The sequence below is a fragment of the Homo sapiens genome, chromosome 11, assembly GCF_000001405.40.
Source record: "Homo sapiens chromosome 11, GRCh38.p14 Primary Assembly".
NCBI classification, from domain to species: Eukaryota; Metazoa; Chordata; class Mammalia; order Primates; family Hominidae; genus Homo; species Homo sapiens.
The window spans coordinates 125,332,763-125,352,573 of record NC_000011.10 but is presented as its reverse complement, the minus strand read 5'-3'; the positions used below and the strand labels follow the sequence as shown (position 1 = coordinate 125,352,573).

At 50.9% G+C, this 19,811-nt stretch overlaps 1 protein-coding gene across 28 annotated transcripts in view, besides 4 other annotated features; it reads right to left on the bottom strand.

Annotated features, from left to right (window-relative positions):
• Positions 1–19,811, bottom strand: part of PKNOX2 (PBX/knotted 1 homeobox 2) — a 268,639-nt gene that overhangs the window by 80,816 nt on the left and 168,012 nt on the right. For 19 of the 28 annotated variants that reach the window (NR_168082.1, NR_168078.1, NR_168083.1 and 16 more), the window contains one exon: positions 1,182–1,290. The exons of the other annotated variants lie outside the window; for them this stretch is intronic. Coding sequence is in view for 11 of the 19 variants with exons in the window: in NM_001382328.1 (NP_001369257.1) it covers positions 1,182–1,268 (87 nt within the window). In the remaining 8 variants the exon portion in view is untranslated. The remainder of the gene's footprint in view (positions 1–1,181; positions 1,291–19,811) is intronic. 28 annotated transcript variants of the gene reach the window in all.
• Positions 626–1,287: an enhancer, noted in NCBI's record as "H3K27ac-H3K4me1 hESC enhancer chr11:125221183-125221844 (GRCh37/hg19 assembly coordinates)". NCBI's record gives its function as "activates a minimal SCP1, AML or CMV promoter by ChIP-STARR-seq in naive H9 embryonic stem cells {active_cell/tissue: H9 hESC(naive)}" and the evidence as "EXISTENCE:reporter gene assay evidence [ECO:0000049][PMID:30033119]".
• Positions 1,288–1,951: an enhancer, noted in NCBI's record as "H3K27ac-H3K4me1 hESC enhancer chr11:125220519-125221182 (GRCh37/hg19 assembly coordinates)". NCBI's record gives its function as "activates a minimal SCP1, AML or CMV promoter by ChIP-STARR-seq in naive H9 embryonic stem cells {active_cell/tissue: H9 hESC(naive)}" and the evidence as "EXISTENCE:reporter gene assay evidence [ECO:0000049][PMID:30033119]".
• Positions 2,607–3,149: an enhancer, noted in NCBI's record as "H3K4me1 hESC enhancer chr11:125219321-125219863 (GRCh37/hg19 assembly coordinates)". NCBI's record gives its function as "activates a minimal SCP1, AML or CMV promoter by ChIP-STARR-seq in naive H9 embryonic stem cells {active_cell/tissue: H9 hESC(naive)}" and the evidence as "EXISTENCE:reporter gene assay evidence [ECO:0000049][PMID:30033119]".
• Positions 10,476–11,225: an enhancer, noted in NCBI's record as "H3K4me1 hESC enhancer chr11:125211245-125211994 (GRCh37/hg19 assembly coordinates)". NCBI's record gives its function as "activates a minimal SCP1, AML or CMV promoter by ChIP-STARR-seq in naive H9 embryonic stem cells {active_cell/tissue: H9 hESC(naive)}" and the evidence as "EXISTENCE:reporter gene assay evidence [ECO:0000049][PMID:30033119]".

The window sequence follows — 19,811 nt, the reverse complement described above, 5'->3', positions numbered from 1 at the left end:
TCCCACTAGGCTGGAGGCATCAGGGCCATAGTGAGCACAAGCCTGGCATCTGCATCTTAAGACCCCTTTCATGCTGCACAAATCTTCCGTGTGGCCCATGAGAACCACTGTGTTTGAAAATGCCAATGAGTGAGGGATGGCAGAGGAGGGCAGAGAGTGGCTGCTGGAGGAGTGCAGATGGTAGCCTGCCCACAGCACCCAGCGGGCACCTGCTGCACATGGGCGAATTTGTGGATGGACATTCTAGCTGGGTGCATTTCACATCACAGGTGCCCAATAAATAATTATTGAATTCATATTGACAGGAGAGTGTGAAGGGAAGGGTCAGAGAATGAAGGCTTCTGTGAAAGCACAGACACAAAACTCGAAGTTTCCAAAGAACCAAGGGTGGACAAGAGGAGCACCTGGGGGAAGCAAAAAGGAAAAGCGGCTGGTCTAAAGGATGTAGGAGGGCAGCCCCCACAAGCTGGGCAGGCTTCCAGGAGGAGAAGGGCAGGCAGCATGAAGACAGCCAGAAGGCACTGCTGAGGAGGGGCATGTTGCAGGAGAGGCAATCGGGGTGGGGAGCGCAGAAGATCTTGGGGGGCGGCTGTGTCTGATCTGAGGGATGGAAGCTGGGGACCAGAAGGAAAGGGTTGCGGGGTGTGCAGAAAGAATCTTGGCTTTTTAAAAGTAGAAGCCCAGAAGAGTTCTGAAGAGAACAGAGATTCTCCCGACAGGCAGGCAGAGGAGGACAAAAGGGCCCAAGTGACCCGAGAATGGGGGGCCTGGCACTCAGAAACCTCTGAGTGTGAAGTTTCTCAAACACTCAGAGGGCGGTTCCGCTCACATCCGGTACCTGGGTCTCCCCCACTGTGGATTTTGCCCCAGTCACAGCAAAGGGGCTTGGCTGCGCTTGTCTGCTGTCTGATGGATGGGGTGGAGGCCAGGACTGTGGCCACTAATCTAGCTTCCAGTCCTAGCTCCTGGGGTCTGAACCTGGTGACTGCCCTCGGGGTCTGTGTTTGCAGGGCTCTCGCTCCCCAGGCTGACGGGAAAGAGCCCGGAGTGCCACCAGGACGTGATTGCGGGAGGCCTGGCTCTGCCCGTCGGCCCCTGGAATGTCCCAGCCTGCAGCTGGGGCTCTAAGGCCACCACACTCCCTCCCCCGTGGTGGGAGGCAGCGGCCCCTGCGCACTCACCTGTGGGCTGTCCTGGTAGGGTGGGGGCGGGACATTCTGCGTGGCCATCATCGTCAGAGCGGGGGCTGGGGAGGCATGTTGCATCATGGGATTGATTCACATGGAGGACCTGTGGGCAGGAGAAAGGGGGCCGCACCGTTAACACCGCTGAGCAGGCCCGCCCTGGGCACCCAGCAGCTCCCTGTGTCCCCCGCTGGGCCACCTGGGCCGGCTGGATGCGGCAAGGGTTGCACGCCCTTCAGGGCAACAAATGAGAGCTAAGGAAGAGGCCTGGGTGGGGAGGGGCTTGCTGTGCTATTTTGACTTGAAAGAAACAATATTCAAATCATATGTAAAACAACCGGTACCCCTGCAGCGGCGCTTTGTTCAGCATCAGCTCCGGCCTGTTGTACGTGTGGGGAGGGGGCACGAAGAGGGAGGGGGCCTGCCTGGTAGCAGCACCGGGGGACTGGAGGCCATTTGGATACCCCTCCTTCCCCAGGAGGACCCTGAGTTCCAGCCTGATAAGGGTGCTCCTGGCCCCGCTGTTTCCCAGGCTTTCTGGAGCAGCCACAGCGCGCACAGGGGCAGGAGGGCCTCAGGCCAGCTACGGGATTCCAGGGTCCCCAAGCACCAAGCTCGCCCCTCCCCAGGGCTCACCCGTCCTCAGACTGTGAGACGGAGGACGGCCTGGACCCGTCCTCAGACTGTAGCCCCAGGGTGGCTGCCTGGAGGCCTTGGGGAAGGGAAAGAGGCAGGGAATGCCGGTCTACTCCTGTACTTTCCCAGACTCGGGCTTGTGACTATGGGCGTGTCCACAGATGTGCCTGCATATCCTATTAAGGAGGACTTTCCTCAGTCTTGGTTCAGTACGGTCACCGGAATGTGGGGATACCAGAAGAGCTATCAGAGCCAAATGGTCTACCTGCCTCTTTGGCTGGTAGAAGACAGAGGCCAAGGGTGACTTGTGTATGGGAGGGCGGGGGTTGGGGGACTTGTTAGTGAAGCTGGGATGGAAGCAGCACCTCCAGATTCCCAGCTCTGGGCCTGCTCCACTGTTGCCCCCATCATTTCCCCATCACCAATAAGCAGGCGAGCTGCCCCCATGAAGCCTCAAGATTTCCTCTTGAAGTAGGATGTGGTGCCATAAGTGGAGACAGCCCGGCTGTGCCACCCAAGGAAACAGAATGTCCAGAGAGCTGTTGTGCTGCAGTAGATGCTCTGAAATATTTAGATCTAGAAGCCACAGGCTAGTTGCCTGATACAGGGCTGTCCACTGTAGGGTAGGAGGTTGCTAAGAGCCTCTGTGGAGTGCAGGACGTGTTCTTCTCCTGGGTGGAGGGCACTGTTGGTGTAGAAACCTTTGTGAGCACAGCACTCACACCCTCCGTCCCCTCTCCCTGAGGCACCTAGGGCTTCATCCTCTTCCAGCCTGGCCCTTCCCAGGGTCTTCCAAAATGTTCACAGACCTGAATTCTGTGGGAATTTGAGAGTGCTTTGGAGCTGCTGTCATCTAAAGGGGCTGGCCTCCAGGGCTGTGTGTGTGTGTGTGTGTGTGTGTGTGTGTGTGTGTGTGATTCTTTTGGTTCTTTTTCAGGAAGTGGAAGTAAGATCTACTCTGACCTGACCTGAGTCTCCAAGATACCAAGTACGCTTTGACCTTCTGCAAAAAGCACTGGAAAGGCCTGTTTCACTCAATAGATGTCTACCAACCACCAACTCTGTGCAGAGAACAGTGTGGGGAGTGTGGTGGGACAGATGAATGAGGCATGGCTAGGAGAGGGAGGTCATGGTCCTAAAGGAAGGAAGAAAATGAGGTGGAGGTGGGTGGAGAATGCACAGGGAGGGATGGCTCCCCCGGTGCTAAAAATGCCGACTTCAGGCCGGTTCCGTCGGCCTCACCGCCTGTCACTCGCCCCCGCCTGGCCTCCTTCAGAAGACGGACTACCAGGATATCTTCACAACAGCATGCAGGGCCTCGCCCATCTCACACACCGCTGGTCCCTAAGATCCAATTTCCTTTTGCAAAGGGACGCAGGAGGGGGCTTTGGGGGAGCCTCTCTCTTCAGGCAGGGGAACCAAGGCCTCTGTTCACAGCTGGATCTTTGTCTGGGTGGTGGTCAGCATCCCAGAGAGCCAAGAGCAGAGTGAGGATTGCAGAGGGAAAAAGGTGGGGGTGGGGTAAGATATAGACTTTTTGAGACATCAGAAGGAACTTCCAGAATTAAGACTTTTGAGATATTAAAGTGGGTGGAATTTCTCTTTTTTGGACCCTGACAAAATAAAGGAAATAGGAATGTTTCAGGGGCCTATTAAACATAGCCTTCCCTGGAACTCTGGCAGAGAAGGCAACTTTGGATAGGGCCCAAGGGCCAGGATGGTGGAATCTCTTCCCGGGAGCATCGATCACAGATGCTCGTCCGCCAGGAAAAAAGTGAAGGGCCATAGCACTGTAGTGCCTGCAGCCTCCAGAAGAGGGAGCCTGGGGGCAGAGTCAGGGTGGGAGCCGCCTCAGGAAGGAGGGCTTTCTCCCCCTCTTAGGGGCAACTAGTTCTCTTTAACCTCGGGCTTGGGTCTTTTGGTAACCTCATTCCATGGATTAGAAGGTCATAATGAAGGCAAAACAAAGGAAGCTCAACGAGGAGGGCATAGGCTACAGAGAGGCGCCTTTCATTCACATTCTTTTGTTCACTGTCCAGTGAATGGAAGGCAGGGTCATTTTAGAGGCGCTGTCCCCAGAAATATTTGTAGCAGCAGGAGGGCTGCCCTGTGTGGGGTTAAGGAGGGGAGGTTAAGAGTAGCCTGTGCCCAGAGACAACCGCCCATGAGGCTGAGAGGAGACTGTTCAGTCCTGAGCCCACCAGGCTGCGGAGCAGGGCCAGACCCGCGTCGAAAGAAGACACAGGAACAATATTCTGAGGACCCAGATGGCCCTGGCCCCTCCCCCTCCTTGGGGTCACCACAGGCCACTAGGCCACTGCCCCATTACCCTCTGGGGGCTTCTCCTGCAAGAGAACAGGAGGCCTTTTCATTAGAGGCTTAAGTTTCCTTCTCTGCTTGCTCAGGCACAGAAGCCTCCGGCAACTTGACACTCCGGGAGCTCAGCTGCTGGAGACCCTGCACCCGTGTCCGGAAGCTGGCTCTTTTCCTCACACCTCTCCACCCACACGTGCACTTCCCCGGTTCCTGAGGGGCCACGTGCAACCATCCTGGAGAGGAATTTGGGGATCTGACTCGCCTTATCTGTGACTTGGCTGGGACTTTGCAGTGGGGTGTGGGGGAACTCTTTGAGCCACAGCGGGGGTCCTGGCCCTTTGGGGGAAGCCTGCCCTTTTTGCATTTTCTTTGGGAGAGGGAGGGGAGCAGCAGGCCTGAGCCCCTGCAAACCTAGCCCCGGGCTTCAGAGCTTTTGTCACGGATTCTGAGAGGCTGCTTGGCCCTGTCCAGAGGCCCCAGTGCTCTGTCACCAGACACCTGGGCATTCAAGGGGGCACAGTCAAGACTGCAAGTGGAGGACAGATGAGGAGCATCTCCCATGGAGAGATTTCCCATCGCGAACAGGCTCACAGGGAAAGGTTGCTTTTTGATTTGTTTTGTTTTGTTTTGTTCAGTGCTGAAAACCTTTATGATATGACATCTAGGAGGGAAAAATTCTATTGCAACACTTGACCCCACAATGACATCCAAGAAGAAATCATTTGTGTCTCTGATATCATCAGAAGAAACTAAAATGTCATTTTAGAGAGCCCAGGAGCCACCGAGGCAGGATCAGTGGATGCAAAGTCATAAAAGCACACCCCTTTAGGAAATGGGATGGGCAGTCCTGGGCACCCACCTCCCTCAGCCTCCTCAACCCATGCTCCCCACAGCCCTGCACCACCAGGTCGGCAGTCTGGAGCCCCAAATCCAGTGTGCTGACAAACAGGCTCAGAAAAAAAATACCAAGCTCATTAGGAAGGAGCTCATTAGGACTTGTTGACATGAAACCCATTAGACCAATTAACATTCCATTAATGGCCTGGGGCACAAAGGGGTTAATGCTGCCAGGCAGTAATTGGGCCAGTGTGCCGGGGTTGGGGGCTCAGGGCCTTAAGGATGAGACACAAAGTCTAATTGGGAACTCTCTGGCCAGCTGGCCTGACAGCATTTGTTCCTGGCCCCTGACCCTAGCTGAGACAAATTGATGGGGGATAGGGAAAGTAGGGCCAGCTCGCTTGGCCCCTCACTGTCCCACCCACCTGCCCCAAACTGGAGACGGGGCCCATGGCTGGCACAAGGACAAGGGTGAGGGGACACTCCCACCCTCCTGGACTCTGACAGTCCTGTTTTCTTCCTTCACGCCATTCCGCCCACTCCCTCTGGTCAAGTGTCTTTCTCAGCCCCGGGGAAGTGAGTCCCTTCTCTCCAGGAATTGCTTTGCAGTGATGTTACCCTCTTAGAAGAACTCTTTGGAGAAGCTAGAAGCCTTCAGGCCCAGAGCCCCGTTCATCTGAAGAGTGCTGGAGTTCAGAGAGAGGGATAGAGGGGACGGTGGCCCTGGGTCTGCCTGTCTTCTGGCCCCTGACCTCCTCCCCTCCTTCCTCCCTTCCTTCCCCCCTTCCATCCTCCTTTCCTTCCTCCCTTCCTGTCCCTTCTTCCCTCCCTCCTTCCTCCCTTCCTTCCTTCCTTCCATAGCAGCTAAGAGGCAGTCATGAGGGCCGCTAGGAATGCTTCTTGTCTGTCCTCCGACACATACAAGCAGCATGTTCATGATTTTCCTTCCCTTGAGACAGGTAGGGGCTGTGGAAGTCACATCCTCTGTCTGGGTCTCAATTTCCCCATCTGTAAACTTTGGGATTGGATGAGGGAATTCACAGGGCCACCCCTCAGTTCTCAGTTCCCATGATCTAAGCCTGGCCTTGGGGTAAAAAAAATTCTGGATTCCACATCCAGTAGAATCTACCACTTATTCTGTAATCTGTACAAGTCACTTTCCCTCTCGGACTGCAGAATGAAGGGATTTCCCCAGAACATTCGGGAAGCCTTTGCCCAGGATTTGCACTGCACACATGCTTGTTGAATGGAACGGAAAGGGTTGGATTGTAGCTTCTTTCTAAAGGCCAGCCAGCACCGGACTTCTCTTCCTCCCATCTAGTTGGAGAGTGGGAAGGAGGCCCCTGAGGTCAGCGAGCCAGGAGCTGTCAATCCCTTCAGCCCAGACGCCCCCAGGTTACCCCTCCACCCCCACCCCCAAGCCGTCCCCTCTGAGCAGCTGCCCAGGCCTGGGTTCTGACGTCTAGACAGATTTGCAGGAGGCTGAAATAACACAGTGAACTCAGCAGGAGGGACCGAAAAGCTGCATTAGTAACCTGGCTGGCTTCAACATCTCCCTCTGGGGCAGCCTCCTCAACCCTGGCGCAATCCGTCTCTTTTTCCCTCAGCCCCAACGCCGCGTCCAAAATGATCTTCTCTGGCCCAGCTCCCTTCCCAGAAGTGGCCTGTAGGTGGCGTCGCAGGGCCCGCTTTAATTGCATTATATAATATAACCTGTTTACTAAATCATGTAATCAGTCGCCTTAGGATTTGCAGCTTGGGATGTGTATGGAGAATTGGACTTTGAGTCAAATTTAAAAACAAATAAAAATGAGAGGCAGCTGTTGCTGATAGTGTGATATTCATCTTTTGGAAACAAATTCACCCCAGTGCTATAAATTATGCCTGGAAAAAAAAAGTGTTGCTGGTAGAACGGAGTTGGCTAGGTCTGCTCTGCTGGCAACTCATAGCGATGAATCTTGAAATAACGGTGTCAACCTGTCACTGATTTCATGTGACTCTGTGGATTTATCTAAAGAAGCAAAGGCGTGTGGGTGCACGCGAGCACACACACATAGAAACACACACATGCACCAGGTCTCTCTGCAAAACCCAGTAAGGGCTAGAAGTGACAAGCTGGAGGCGGGGTGTCTGCCAGAGCTTGGTGGTCCCTGAGGCTTGGTGGATGGGGTTGGCACCGAGAACTGAGCAGTGACAAGGGTGAGGTCAATTTGTGGTGGCAGAGGAGGACAGAATGGAGAGAGAGGATGCACCATGGGCTGGGAGGCTTGACCATGTGAGCAGGGGTTTGTCACCTCCAAATCAGTTGTTGTGTTGAAATGTTTCAAAAAGAGGGAGAAGTGGATGCTCCTGGAGGGGAGGACTAAGGAATTTGGGAAGAGGGGCAAGCTCCCCAGAGCCCGCCCCACCTTACAGCACAGCAAACACCCTCGCCTGCCTCTTCACCCCAGGGACTGTGGGTGCTGAAAGGAAGCTGGGGACCCTGAGGATTCAGGCAGCAGGAATGTGGGGCTGAGTGGGTGCTGCTCTCTGCCTGTCTTTCTGATCCTAGGCTGATGGGGGGAAATGGAGATCCTCCAGTCTGCTGAGGTCAGGCTTGGAGTGGGGCCTGGGAGCCAGGGAGGGAGTTTGTACATATCTATGTTACTGAAGGAGGGACAGGTGCAGAGGAACTGAGTGGGATTTGCACTCAGGTCTCACATCCTTGTTCACTCTGTGTCCTGAAGGCCAGCTAAGAGGTCAAAAATAAGCCGCGACTCCACAATGACCCAGGTCCCAGGGCACACCGCACCCAGCACAGAGCCCAAGTCCTTGCAGAATGTCACAGCCAGAACACCTGCTTCCCTACTGCCCCTCCGGGTCCTCCTTGGAATACTCAGTGGGGAGGCAAAGATGACAACCAAGACAAGCAGACGCTTTGGCCACCCATAGCTCTCCATACTAATTGTCATTTGCTGCCCTTCTGGGAAGCCAACTTGGGAGGTGGTGCCAGGTCATGCCCTAATATCACGATGCTGGTGTCCAGGGAACAGAGTGGGGACAGAGCAGAAGCCAGCATGAGCTTTGGCTAGGACTGCCTGCTTCTGACTCCCTAAGAGATGTGCAGATCTCTCTCCCTCAATCCTCCTTCAGCCCTTAAATGCCACATGGAGTGAATGCTTTGGAAATGGTAAGAGCCTTCTGTGAGACCAGAAAACCCAGAGACCCTTCCCATCCAACCCCCAATTTCCATCCCAAGGAGCGTGGCCTCCCCCTAATGGCCTGTGGCCCTACTTCCGAGGGCCTAAACCTCCTCTCCCGTCTCCACTCCCAAGACCATTTTACTGTTTGTTCTTTATTTGGAGTAACAATATGTCCTCACTGTGGTCGGGCCAACAGATCACTTATGCACTCACTGACCCCAGCCTAGAGATGAGCAGAAGCTTACATTAGAGACCCACCCTGGAGGAGAGGGTGCCGGGTCCCTCTGTGTCCATGGTTCACTATGGGGAGGATTAGTGGGCACACAAGCAGCATGATAAAGCAGTGTCTGGGGACAGGCCCCAGCACTGGGTCCATCACCCTCCTCAGCCGCTCCCTCCTCCATGGACAGGACTTGCCTTCCTTGAACTCCAGCCCGACCAGGTTTCCCAGAGAGGAGCCCCACCGTCCTGCCCTTTGCTGACAGCCATGCCGCTCTGACTCACACAGAAGCCAGAGTTCCAGGCCTGCAGTCTCTCCTCCTTGAGTCCCCAGTTCAGCTATTTTTTTTAACTGGGCTTCACAACACGGAGCAGGAGAGTCAGACGAGCAACACCCGCCCTGCTCCCGCGCCCTCTTCGTGGTCTTGCTCCCGCCTCTCCACACCGGGAACAAGAGTGCTGGAGCCCCACCGCCCTCCCTGCCTCGCTGTCACACCTTTTCTGGCTTCAAAAAGCTGCTGATATATTTTACAAACTGAAACAGCAATTTAATTCCCCCTGATAGCGGCAATTGTCCATTAGATCTTCCTACCGAGGAGCTTAACAATAATTCCTTTCATCCAACTGCTTGCTTCTTCTTGATCTGAGAATCAATCCCATAAATAGCAGGCAAGAGTTCTCACATTACTCTCCCCTCCAGCTTTTAGCATTTTGATGAAGATTCTCATCTCCTCTTTAAGCACTTTACAACTTGGCAATTTTTCCCCCTTTGGTTCCTTTAAACAAAATAAAACAAAAAACAGAAAAAAAAAAGCATGCTGGCTGGAAGGGGGAGCACAGCCCTTGCATTCTGCTCACGGAAGTGGTGTGCGCTTTTTCCTACCTGGAGGCAGGGGGATGGCTGCAGTGACCTGCGGTGGGTCCTGTCTGCTGGAAAGTGGGTGCTGCTCTGCCCCAGAGGCCATGACTATTGTGTCCCCAAAACTCACACTCACCACACCTGGGTCCCGCTTTTGCCAGTGATGTTCAACTTAGGGTACCTCTCCCATTCCAGGAGCCCCTCCCCCTATTGTTCACCCCCAGGAATGGAGGCAGGAGGGAGGCCACAGCTGCTGCCCTGGGGTGCTCTGAGCCAACTCCCTCCCCCAGCCTGTGGCCCCCTTGGAACCTTCTAACCTAGAGAGCGGATTCTGCCCTTTTGTTTTCCTCTCCAGCCCCTCCATCTCTAGCCAAACAACAAGAGTGGGAGAGGTGGGGAGGCCCAGGGAAAGAAGAGAGCTTGAGGCCTTTTATTCAATTATTTTCCTTTTTTTTTTCAACATGCAAGCAGCTCCAGGGATCGGGACAGTGGAGAGCCCTCCAGCTCCTCCACGGTGGTGGCTAGGGTGGAGTGTCAGGGCACCTGGGAGCCCCGGCCCGCCCCTCCCCCAGAGACACTATCATGTGCTCTCTCGTCTGCACACACTCACAGAGAAACAGATCTGAAAATGAACCTGGGACTGAAGTCCCCCTCGACAAACCTGATTCCCAGGTTTATTATTATTTGTCAAGAGCTGACAGCAGCCGCTCAGGCACTGAGCTGAGAAAACAACACAGGCCGGGCCCCTGAGACCCACAACTCAACAGAGACAGACAAACAGCTCCAGCGCTGGGATCCCAGGTGGAAAAGCGCAGAGCCACCTCCGGCAGCCCTCTCGGGCTCCCACCCTTTCATAAGTCTCTCTTCTCTGAGGCAGTCAGGAGGGCCCTGACGCTCACTGGGAGCTGGGGGGAGGAGGAAAGCAGGCATGGGGACCATGTAAGGTGTGAGTAGGGTGGCCGGAGCAGGGGCTGGTGGGGGAAGGAGGGCATGGAGGCGAGGGACCCTGAAGCCTACGCATTCCACCTCTGGTGCAACCTCAGATTCTCCTGGAGCCAGCGGAGCTAAAAGGGTCAGCCAGGCCCCTTTTCTCTCTGAGGACTGTACTGTGTCCTCTGGCTAGATGATACCTTGTTCCAAATTTTAAAACTTGCCTTTAGGAAAAAAAAAAAAAAGTCAAGAGTCAGAGTTGTGGAAGCAAGTGGCTCTGTGCATTCAATTTATCATTGAAAAGCCACTAGTTCCTGAGACGCTCATACCCAGCCAACGTGTGCCCTTCCTGCACCTTCCTGGTGGCCCAGGCAGAGCTCACAAGAAACAAGAGCTCTAAATAGAGCCCATGGCAATGGGATCGGCTAGAGGAGGAAAGGCTGCCCAGCCAGGCTGCCCCACCCTTGGTCCTCACCACCCCCTTGGAAGGAGGGCGGGTACACTGGCTCTGTGTTCCTGAGCTTCAGGAAAGCCAGCCCTGGGGAAGGGAAGATGACAGCCATGATGCGAGAGGACGTGGCGCGGCCACACAGACTCGCACCCCAGCAGATACTCCCTCCGTCGCCCAACCTAAGATGCTCTCGTGCCTTTTGCTGTGTTTCTTGTCCGCTACCAAGGTGTTCTGTATTTCACAGCCATGCCGTTCCCTTCATCAACACTTGGCTCCAAAGCCTACTGTTCCATGAAGCCTTTCTTCCCCTTCCACTCCAGGACTACACGTGGGAAATCAAGGCGGGAATAATCATCATGCATGTTTCTGTGTTATGGAAAATCTGCTCCTCACCCGCATGTCCCATCTTGCCCACTGGCCCCTGTTCCCCCCAGCAGACAAGATCATGGCTCTGCCTTGCATGTTCACTGGGGGAGAAGGGGCAGCCTATACAATATGACTGCACAAAGTCTACCTCCTTATGGAGCCTCAATATATATACATGGTTATAGTTTAATTTCTTTGGCTTAACTCCTTTTTTTCTTTCCTTTTTTTTTTTTTGAGACGGAATCTTGCTCTGTCACCAAGCTGGAGTGCAGTGCAGTGGCACGATCTCGGCTTACTGCAACCTCTGCCTCCCGGGTTCAAGCGATTCTCCTGCCCCAGCCTCCCGAGTAGCTGGGACTACAGGCGTGCACCACCACACCCAGCTAATTTTTGTATTTTTAGTAAAGAGGGGTTTCACCATGCTGGCCAGGCTGGTCTCGGTCTCTTGATGTGATCTGCCTGCCTCGGCCTTCCAAAGTTCTGGGATTATAGACATTAGTCACTGTGCCTGGCCGGCTTACTTTTTTTTTTTTTTTTTTTTTTTGAGATGGAGTCTTACTCTGTCACCCAGGCTGGAGTGCAGTGGTGTGATCTTGGCTCACTGCAACCTCTGCCTTCCGGGTTCAAGCGATTCTCCCACCTCAGTCTCCGGAGTATCTGGGACTACAGGTGCCTGCCACCACGCCTGGCTAATTTTTGTATTTTTAGTAGAGATGGAGTTTCACCATGTTGACCAGGCTGGTCTCAAACTCCTGGCCTTGTGATCCACCCACTTCGGCCTCCCAAAGTGCTGGGATTACGGGCGTGAGCCACCGCGCCTGGCCTGGCTTGCTCTTAAAATGTAAAACAAGCCAATCCAAGAAGCATAACCCTTTGAGTCCCAGCAGCCATTTACACAACAGTGAGAATAAGTTGGTTAGTTTCTGGAGCCAATTTGGATGTGGGTGAGATGATAATATAGAATTAATAACAACTGCCACTTACTGAGCCGTCCCTGTGCCCCAGGCATGACACTAACAGTAGATACGGGTCACCTGGTCTCTTTTCCTTAACAACCAGATGGTGTCGGCATTACGGTTGTTCCCATTCGTGGGTGAGCAAACCGGGGCTTTGAGGAAGTTTCCAGATGTTACACACAGTCTGATCCCAGAGTCTGCAGGTTTAACTGGAAGTCTCAGGGTGAGGGCAGGAAATAGCAGGGAAGGACTGAGACTCCTAGAAACTGGAGAAGTGCAGAAAAGGTGAGGCTGATTATAAAACCAAGCTGCCAGTTTAGAGTTGGGCCCTCGAATACTGGCTGTCCTTTGACTTTCCTATGCCCTGATTTTCCAAGCATCATGTTATACTGACACCACTAAATGTCTTCTGTGTTGCCGAGCCTGGGCTTTTGTACATCAGTTAATGGACACACACTCTGTGCCTTCCCACGGTAGGGAAGTTCCTTCCATCAGCCCTGTCATCCTGCTACAGCAGTGTGTGTACACATTTTGTTAAATATTTCATTGCATTTTGCTCTTATTATTTTATAAAAATGAGCAGGAGATGGGAAAATGAAAGTGCTGATCCCAGCGATAAGAAGTAGGGGTCTCATAAACATAATACGACTGAGACGAAGATGGAAAACGTTAAGCGAGCTGAAAGCGGCAAATCTTGAGTCTTCATCGTGGACTCATTGGACTGTGTGTTCAATTAGGAGGAGAAGGAACAAAATTAAAGAACACAAAATGATGGAAATGTATGGCTGAAGACTGCATCTCAAAGGCGATGTATAATTGGAATCTGATAATGTGTCGTAGCTGTCTGGGAGCAGAGCTCCGGGAACGCATGGGGCACATACGAAAGCCAGGCTGTCTGTGCCTCACCCTGCTCTTGGCGGCTCTGGGGCCAGGGCTCTGAATCACATTACTGGGATTCTGTCAGTGTCTCTGTCTTGTCATACTGGACTGAGGGGCCCTGCTGGGGCCCAGGAGGAGTGAAGTGGGGTAGAAGGGGGCATGCAGTCAGCCTGCTCTCTGTGACGGTCTCCACTTGGCCTTTCCCCACACACCCTTGGCTTTCCAGGGACCACCCACAGCTGTAAAGAAGTCCCTGTTCTGGAATGAAATCTGTCCATGACGCACAGGCTAAGAGGCAGCTGGCTGTATCTTGGGAAAGCGTGTCCAGTGGAGCAGTATTAGTGTTTTCAAGTCAGGGCACCCCATCGTTAGGGAGCATCCCCTCTCTTGTCATATCTCCCTGAGTCCAAGATTGCCAAAGAAGCCCCTTCCTGTTCACTTCAGAGTCTTCTCTTCCGCTCTCAGCCCAGAGAGATTCCAGGCAGCAGTCTGAATGGGCAGCCAGTGAGCCAGCAGCAGGGTTATTACCCACATCCTCTGAGGCAGGCAGCTATTAAACAGAAGTGCGAGGACGGAGCTGTGTTCTACCTCCCACTGGCTCGGGTTGTTCTCTGCCAGGTCCCGTCCCCTTCAACCTCCAGCCTTGGAAAGGGGCTATGGTTTTCTGGCTCCTAAGAGGGAAAACTTTAGTCATGTGCTGGCCCTTTCAGCTGCTCTCAGACACAGAGGAGGAGTGTTTCATATTAGCAGCAGAGTCTTTGAATACTAGGAATGGGTCTGAAAATTATAACTCGCAGTGAAGCTTAATTCTGACTTGCGCAACGCAACCCATTTCCTATCATTATGGTCTGGGTGGAAAGAAAGAGTCCTGCCTTTAGCACAGAATCCTTGTAGTCTCGATGTTCAAGATCATGCCTTCACTTTGCCCTCTTCTTTCTCCAGTGAGATGGACATCATCTCTCATGCTAGGGCAAGGACCAGGGAGTGGAAGAAGAGGAGGAGAAGAAGGCAATTTTGCACAGTGGACTCTGGTCCTCAGGGACCAATTAGGATGCTTAGAACGGTTACTAATCCCCTGGGATCTGAGCATTTGTTAGTCTGGGTCTTCCAGGGTCAAGCCTGTCCAGGGAAAAGGAACAAAGTGTCTCTACTTCCAGATCAGGAGGTTCTGTCCAGAGTAGGTTGATCGGAGCAGGCAGGGTGCTGCATGTGAGATGTCTGCTCCCAGAGCCAGGCTCTGGGATGGGAAGGAGAAGGAAACGGGGCTACTCTTCTAAGATGACTCCCCAAGGGCACAAGTTTGCCTGGGGCTGGGGACGATCCTTGCTGTCTTCAGCCCCCCTCGGAGCTTTCTTCTCTGTTTAGGGCCTGGCTGTCTCCAGTGAGAGCCTGTGCTTTGTGGCACTGGGAAGAGCAGTCTGCTGTCTCTTTGTCCTGCAGTTCATAAACGTGAGAAAAAGAGCTCACTTAATGAGGCACTTGCCACGGTCAGGGATGATTTCACTAGCAGAAGCTGTGTGTGTGTGAGCTGGGGAAGTGTGGGGAGTAGGGAAGATGGGCAGAGGGAGACAGGGAGGTGAGGAAGCCCATTTCAGAATGATGGGGAAGGTCAGGCAGAGAGCTCCCCAAGGGGGACAGAGAGCGGATGCTGGGGAGATGGAGGGTCCAAAGGAGCTGTCCACAGTGAGAAGCCAGCTGCTGCGGCTGACCTGAAACCCAGCCTCAGCCTTTTCTTCACTCCTCAGGAAATGAACGCTTCTTCTCCAATTCTGGAAGCAGTGGGAACTCCAGGCACTAGGGCAGACTGTCAGACAACCAACAGAGGTGGAAGGGTCCTGAGTCATCATGAGGTCTGACTTCTTCCCGAGACAAATAAGGAAACTTGCCCAAGTCCATGCAGCAAGTTGGAGATAGGGCCCTAATTAGAACCCAGGTCCCAAGTAGCAAATCCAGGCCTCATTTACTGAGCACCTATTCTGTGTCAGGCACTGTGCAGGGCAATGGATGTCCCAGAAGGAGAAAACAGACGACAAAGGAAAAGAAATGAAGTCGTAGCAAAATGGAGATTTCCCTGTGCTGAAGCAGACAGGTGACTTCAGACTTAAAAGATCCCAGCGCTAAGAAAGGAGAACAGAAAGCAAACTTCAAGCCCCAACACATGGTGGTGAAATCAGAACTTTAATGGGAAAAGAAGAGAGAACCACATGTTCCCATGGATCCTCATTGCAAGATCGGAAACAAGGAGATGGTGCAGCCATGTCAGCAAGTTCTAGGAGAAAAAGGTTTTGAACCTGGGATTCTGAGCGCAGTCCGATTATCAGTCAAGTATGAAGACAAAGCCAGTGTTGGACATGTGAGAACTTGGAGTTTATTTCCCACTCGTTGATATAAAAAATAACTAGAGGTTGTAGCCCAGCAAACGAAGAAATCCGAAGAGGCGGAGAACACTGAACAAGAAAGAGTGGCTGCTCAGGGCACCAGTCATGACACCACAGGGCTCAGAAGGTTCTTCCACAGCAGCCACGTTGTAACGACCCTTCCACAGGCCATTCACACTGCTTAGTTCTGTGGTTGAATATATTGCCATGCCCACAGTGGTTTTAATGCTTTTAAACAGATTTCCATCTTATAATCACCTATAGAATGCAGAGGTAAACTACAGCAATGTAACAGTATAAATCTTCTAAATCTTAACAATGTAAAAATCATAGATAACTTATTATTATGCAAAATATAATATGTAGTACTATATACAGTATATTATATACAGTATAAAAGTATATGGCATACTATAGATCCTATATATCATATATAATTATATATTATAGTACACAGCATACATATGTATTATAGTACATAGCACATAATATACCTCATATGATTATATATACTAACATATAATATTACATATTATATAATGTATATTATACTATTATATGTGATTTTAAAATACTGCATATATTATATAGTATACTATATAATATAGTGTATAGTATTATATATTATATATCATGTAGTATACAGTATTATGTATGATATATAATGCTATATACTATATTATATAGAGAATATACTACAGAGTATACATTACATATTATATATAATATGTAGTGCTACACTATATAATACATAATCTTTATAGTATCTATAATGCTATATGGTATGTGTTATTTAGTCTATTACTATTATGTTACATTATTAAGATTTAGAAGATTTATACTTATATTAATATATAGGATATATTATATATGGTGTATATATGTTATATAGTACATATAATGCTATGAACTAAAAATAGATAATATCAAATGTAATTTGATAAAAACTTATCAAAGTAATACAAATTGGAGGGGAAGGATGTGTGCTAATTTCCTCAACTTTCATAGCAGACAGTTAATAGATAAATAGATAAACTGAGAAAAAAGGGCTGAAGCATATTATCTAATATAATAAATGTTGGCCATCAAATAACTAAGGCCAGAAGCTGTTGTGGTTGACTTTGGATCATGAGCCTTGTGGGGAGAGGTGAGGGTAGGAAGGGAGAGTTTTTATTTTGTATCTTTTACACTGTTTGCTTTTTCCTCTCACACATACTTCTAATTTAAAAAATAACTACAATAAATAAATAATTATGCATCTATATAATAGAAAACTATGCAGCAGTTAAAAGTAATGGAGTAGATCTATTTGTTTTGACCCAGAAAGCTATCAATCATATAACCTATGTTTAAAAAGCAAGTTTTTAGAACAATATTTAAAACATAACATTTAACTGTGTTATAATAAACAGCAAAACCGGTAACATGTAGTCCCTACCTTCAAGGAGCTTTCTGACCACGCACCCACTTCCATGTCCTCTGCCCTGGGCCATCTGGCCTGCTTGGGACCTCTTCCCTTTGCAAGATGCATGCCTCTTATTTGCTTGCTTGTTTGTTTTTTAGAGACAGGAGTCTCCCTCTGTCACCCAGGCTGGAGTACAGTGGAGCAATCATAGCTCACTGCAGCCTCAACCTACTGGCCTCAAGCAATCCTCCCTCCTCAGCCTCCTGAGTAGCTGGAACTACAGGTGTGCATCACCATGCCTGGCTAATTTTTTAAAATTAATACCTCTTTTTGCAGTAGATAAGAACTATTTTGTGCATATTTCAAGTAACAACTCTAAGTTCTTGACTATAAGTGCTCAGTCCAAAGACTGGCCTGGATGAAACTGCACAAGAGATGAACAGCTTTCTACACAAATATCTCGTGGAGGGAAGCAGAGAGGGGAGTGAGAATCCAAGGACTACAGGATGTCAGGCCTGAAAGACTCCTCGGAGAGCCTCTAGTCCTCCTCCCTCATTCACAGAGAAGGAACACATGTGGGGCCCAGAGAGGGGCAGTGGCCAATAAAAGGTCATGCGGTTGGATTATGATGTCCAGAAAAGACAGAACTGGGCTTTGTGAACAGCCAGAGTCAGGAAACAGCAGACAAGCTGAAGGCTGACCTGGGAGCCTGAAACCATGGCCTGCAGAGAGAGAATCCTACAGGGAGTTCAGAGGGGGCCCGTTCAGGAGCTGCTCAGAATGCAGACGGCTTGACTTTGAGGGGAGGCCTGCACAAATCAGACCACATCGCCCTTCCCTAGTGTCCATGGTAGTGGGAAAGAAGCAGTTTTAATAAAGTAGAAGGTGCCGCTTTGGGGCTCAAGGGGAGGGGCTTGCACAGGAACTGGCATTTTCTGAGCATTTCTGATGCACCAGACATTGTGTGAGGTGCATTCTTGTGCATTCTCTCATTTAATCTGCACAGAAGCCCCATGAGGTAAATATGATTACCACAATTACAGAAAGACAATGATGGTAAGAAAACTTAAGTGTCTGGGCGCAGTGGCTCATGCCTGTAATCACAGCACTTTGGGAGGCCGAGGCAGGCAGATTACTTGGACTCAGGAGTTAGAGACCAGGCTGGAGAACATGGGAAAACACTATCTCTTTAAAAAAAAAAATACAAAAATCAGTCCAGCATGGAGGTGTGCACCTGTTGCCCCAGCTACTCAGGAGACTGAGGCAGGAGGATCACTTGGGCCTGGAAGGCAGAGGTTGCAGTGAGCTGAGACTGTGCCACTGCACTCTAGCCTGGGTGACAGAGTGAGACCCTGTCTCAAAAAAATGAAAAGAAAAAAAAAAAAAAACGAAAACTTAAGTTACGTAACTTGCCCCAAATCTCACAGGCAGCAAATGGCAGAGCTAGAATTGGAGTCTAGGTTGGTCTGGTTCCAAAGCCTAAGTTTCCTCAAGGAACCAGAGGACTCCAATAACTACGTGTTCACCAACTGAGAAGAGGAGATATGTCTCTCCTAAATGGGGATAAAACAAATGCTGTTCCCTTCCTGAACCCTGAGTATGGAATCAGCTCCTTTACCCAATCCATGACTATCCAGGCACACTGGCTGGCTCTTGAGAACTAAGGTTTATGTTTGCCCAACAGGACTTTGAAAATCCCCACCTCAGAGGATATCAGCATTTGGGGCTCCCTTTCTCCCTAGCAGAGTTCCTACAGTACCAGGCTCAGAAGAAGATGGGCTAGGACCTAGCATGAGTGCAGGGAAGAGAAGGAGCTGGAGTCCAGAACTCTTGATTTCCAAGGTTTCAGTCCCGAATCTGTCCTGTACCAACCTCAAAGGCATATGACCTGCTCTTGCCACCCCTCAGACACTGGCCCCCAGCCTCCTCCTATGTCTTCCTAGGCACCTCTGCCTCCACTGAGCCCTGACTCTGGGGGAGGCAGGCAGGCCCAGGAGAGTATATATGTCAGTTAGGGTTTGTCGTTTACACGTGGAGATCATTAACGAGACTTATTTTTAAATTGTAATTGCAAAATGTAAATGCTCCCCAAACCGATGTGTAATTGCTACCCCCTCCACCCCAGCCCTTCCCCTCTGGTGCCAGCTTTGCAAGGAGAGAATTAGAAAATAAAAAGGGGGTGGATTATGTAAGCAAAACGATTTTAAAAAAAGAGAGCGAGAGAGCTAAGAATTTAAGTGAGACAGCTGGCAGCTTCTCTGATTGCCACACTTCCAGCATTAGCTGCAAAAATTGTCCTTGCCAGTTGCACCCATCCAAGCAATAGTGTCAACTGTATTTAGTACCTAGAACAGACCATACTGCCACTCACTTGGCAAGACGGTTCAGTGGTTAGTGTGTGTGTGTGTGTGTGTGTGTGTGTGTGTATGTGTGTGTGTGTCTTGGGACTGAGAGGGCAAAGGTCAGGGGTGATATTTGAGGTTGCCTCTACCCCATCTGTGGAAGCCTTCCATTCTACAGGAAGACATAATTCACAGCAGGATTAGCAGTCCATCAACCCTGTTACCCATATTCTACCATGCAGGTGATGGCAGGAACACCTCCATTCTCCCAGGCTCAGACTGGCTTGTTTGGACTCCAGCATCCACAGCCTCAGCCTGCAGAGAAATAGGACTCTACAGGAGAGTTCAGCAGGAAGAGCCTCAGTTCTATTCTCAGTCCCAGAGAAAGCCACTGAACTTGGGCATCAGCACACTTCACACGGATTCACCAGGTGTAGAACCCTTGTCCCTTTTTGTACCTTCTTCCCATCTTCTTCAATCCCTGCCCACAGCTGCTGTCTACAGTGAACTCCTTGTGACATCACTCTGCTACACAGACTCCAAATGTTGAAAAGGCTCAACTTGCCCCCGAAACGGGCATCGCCCAACCCACACTCAGCGAAGACTTGACCTGCATAGATACCTTGCCCTCAGCTTCCACCGCGAGGAGCCACAGCTCTCCCATGCCACCCACCCCTCATTGTACCTAGAACACAGAGCTCCCCAGACAGGAAGAAGGACGAGCATTGTTGCCAGTCTGTCCTCAGACATGTGGACCTCTAAATAGACTAACTAGCTGCTTGGAGAGCTGGGCAAAGGGACATTCATCTTTGTGATTAACTCTCCCTCGTTCCCTCTCTGCAGGGAAACCAGCTTTGTGAGGAATTTGGCG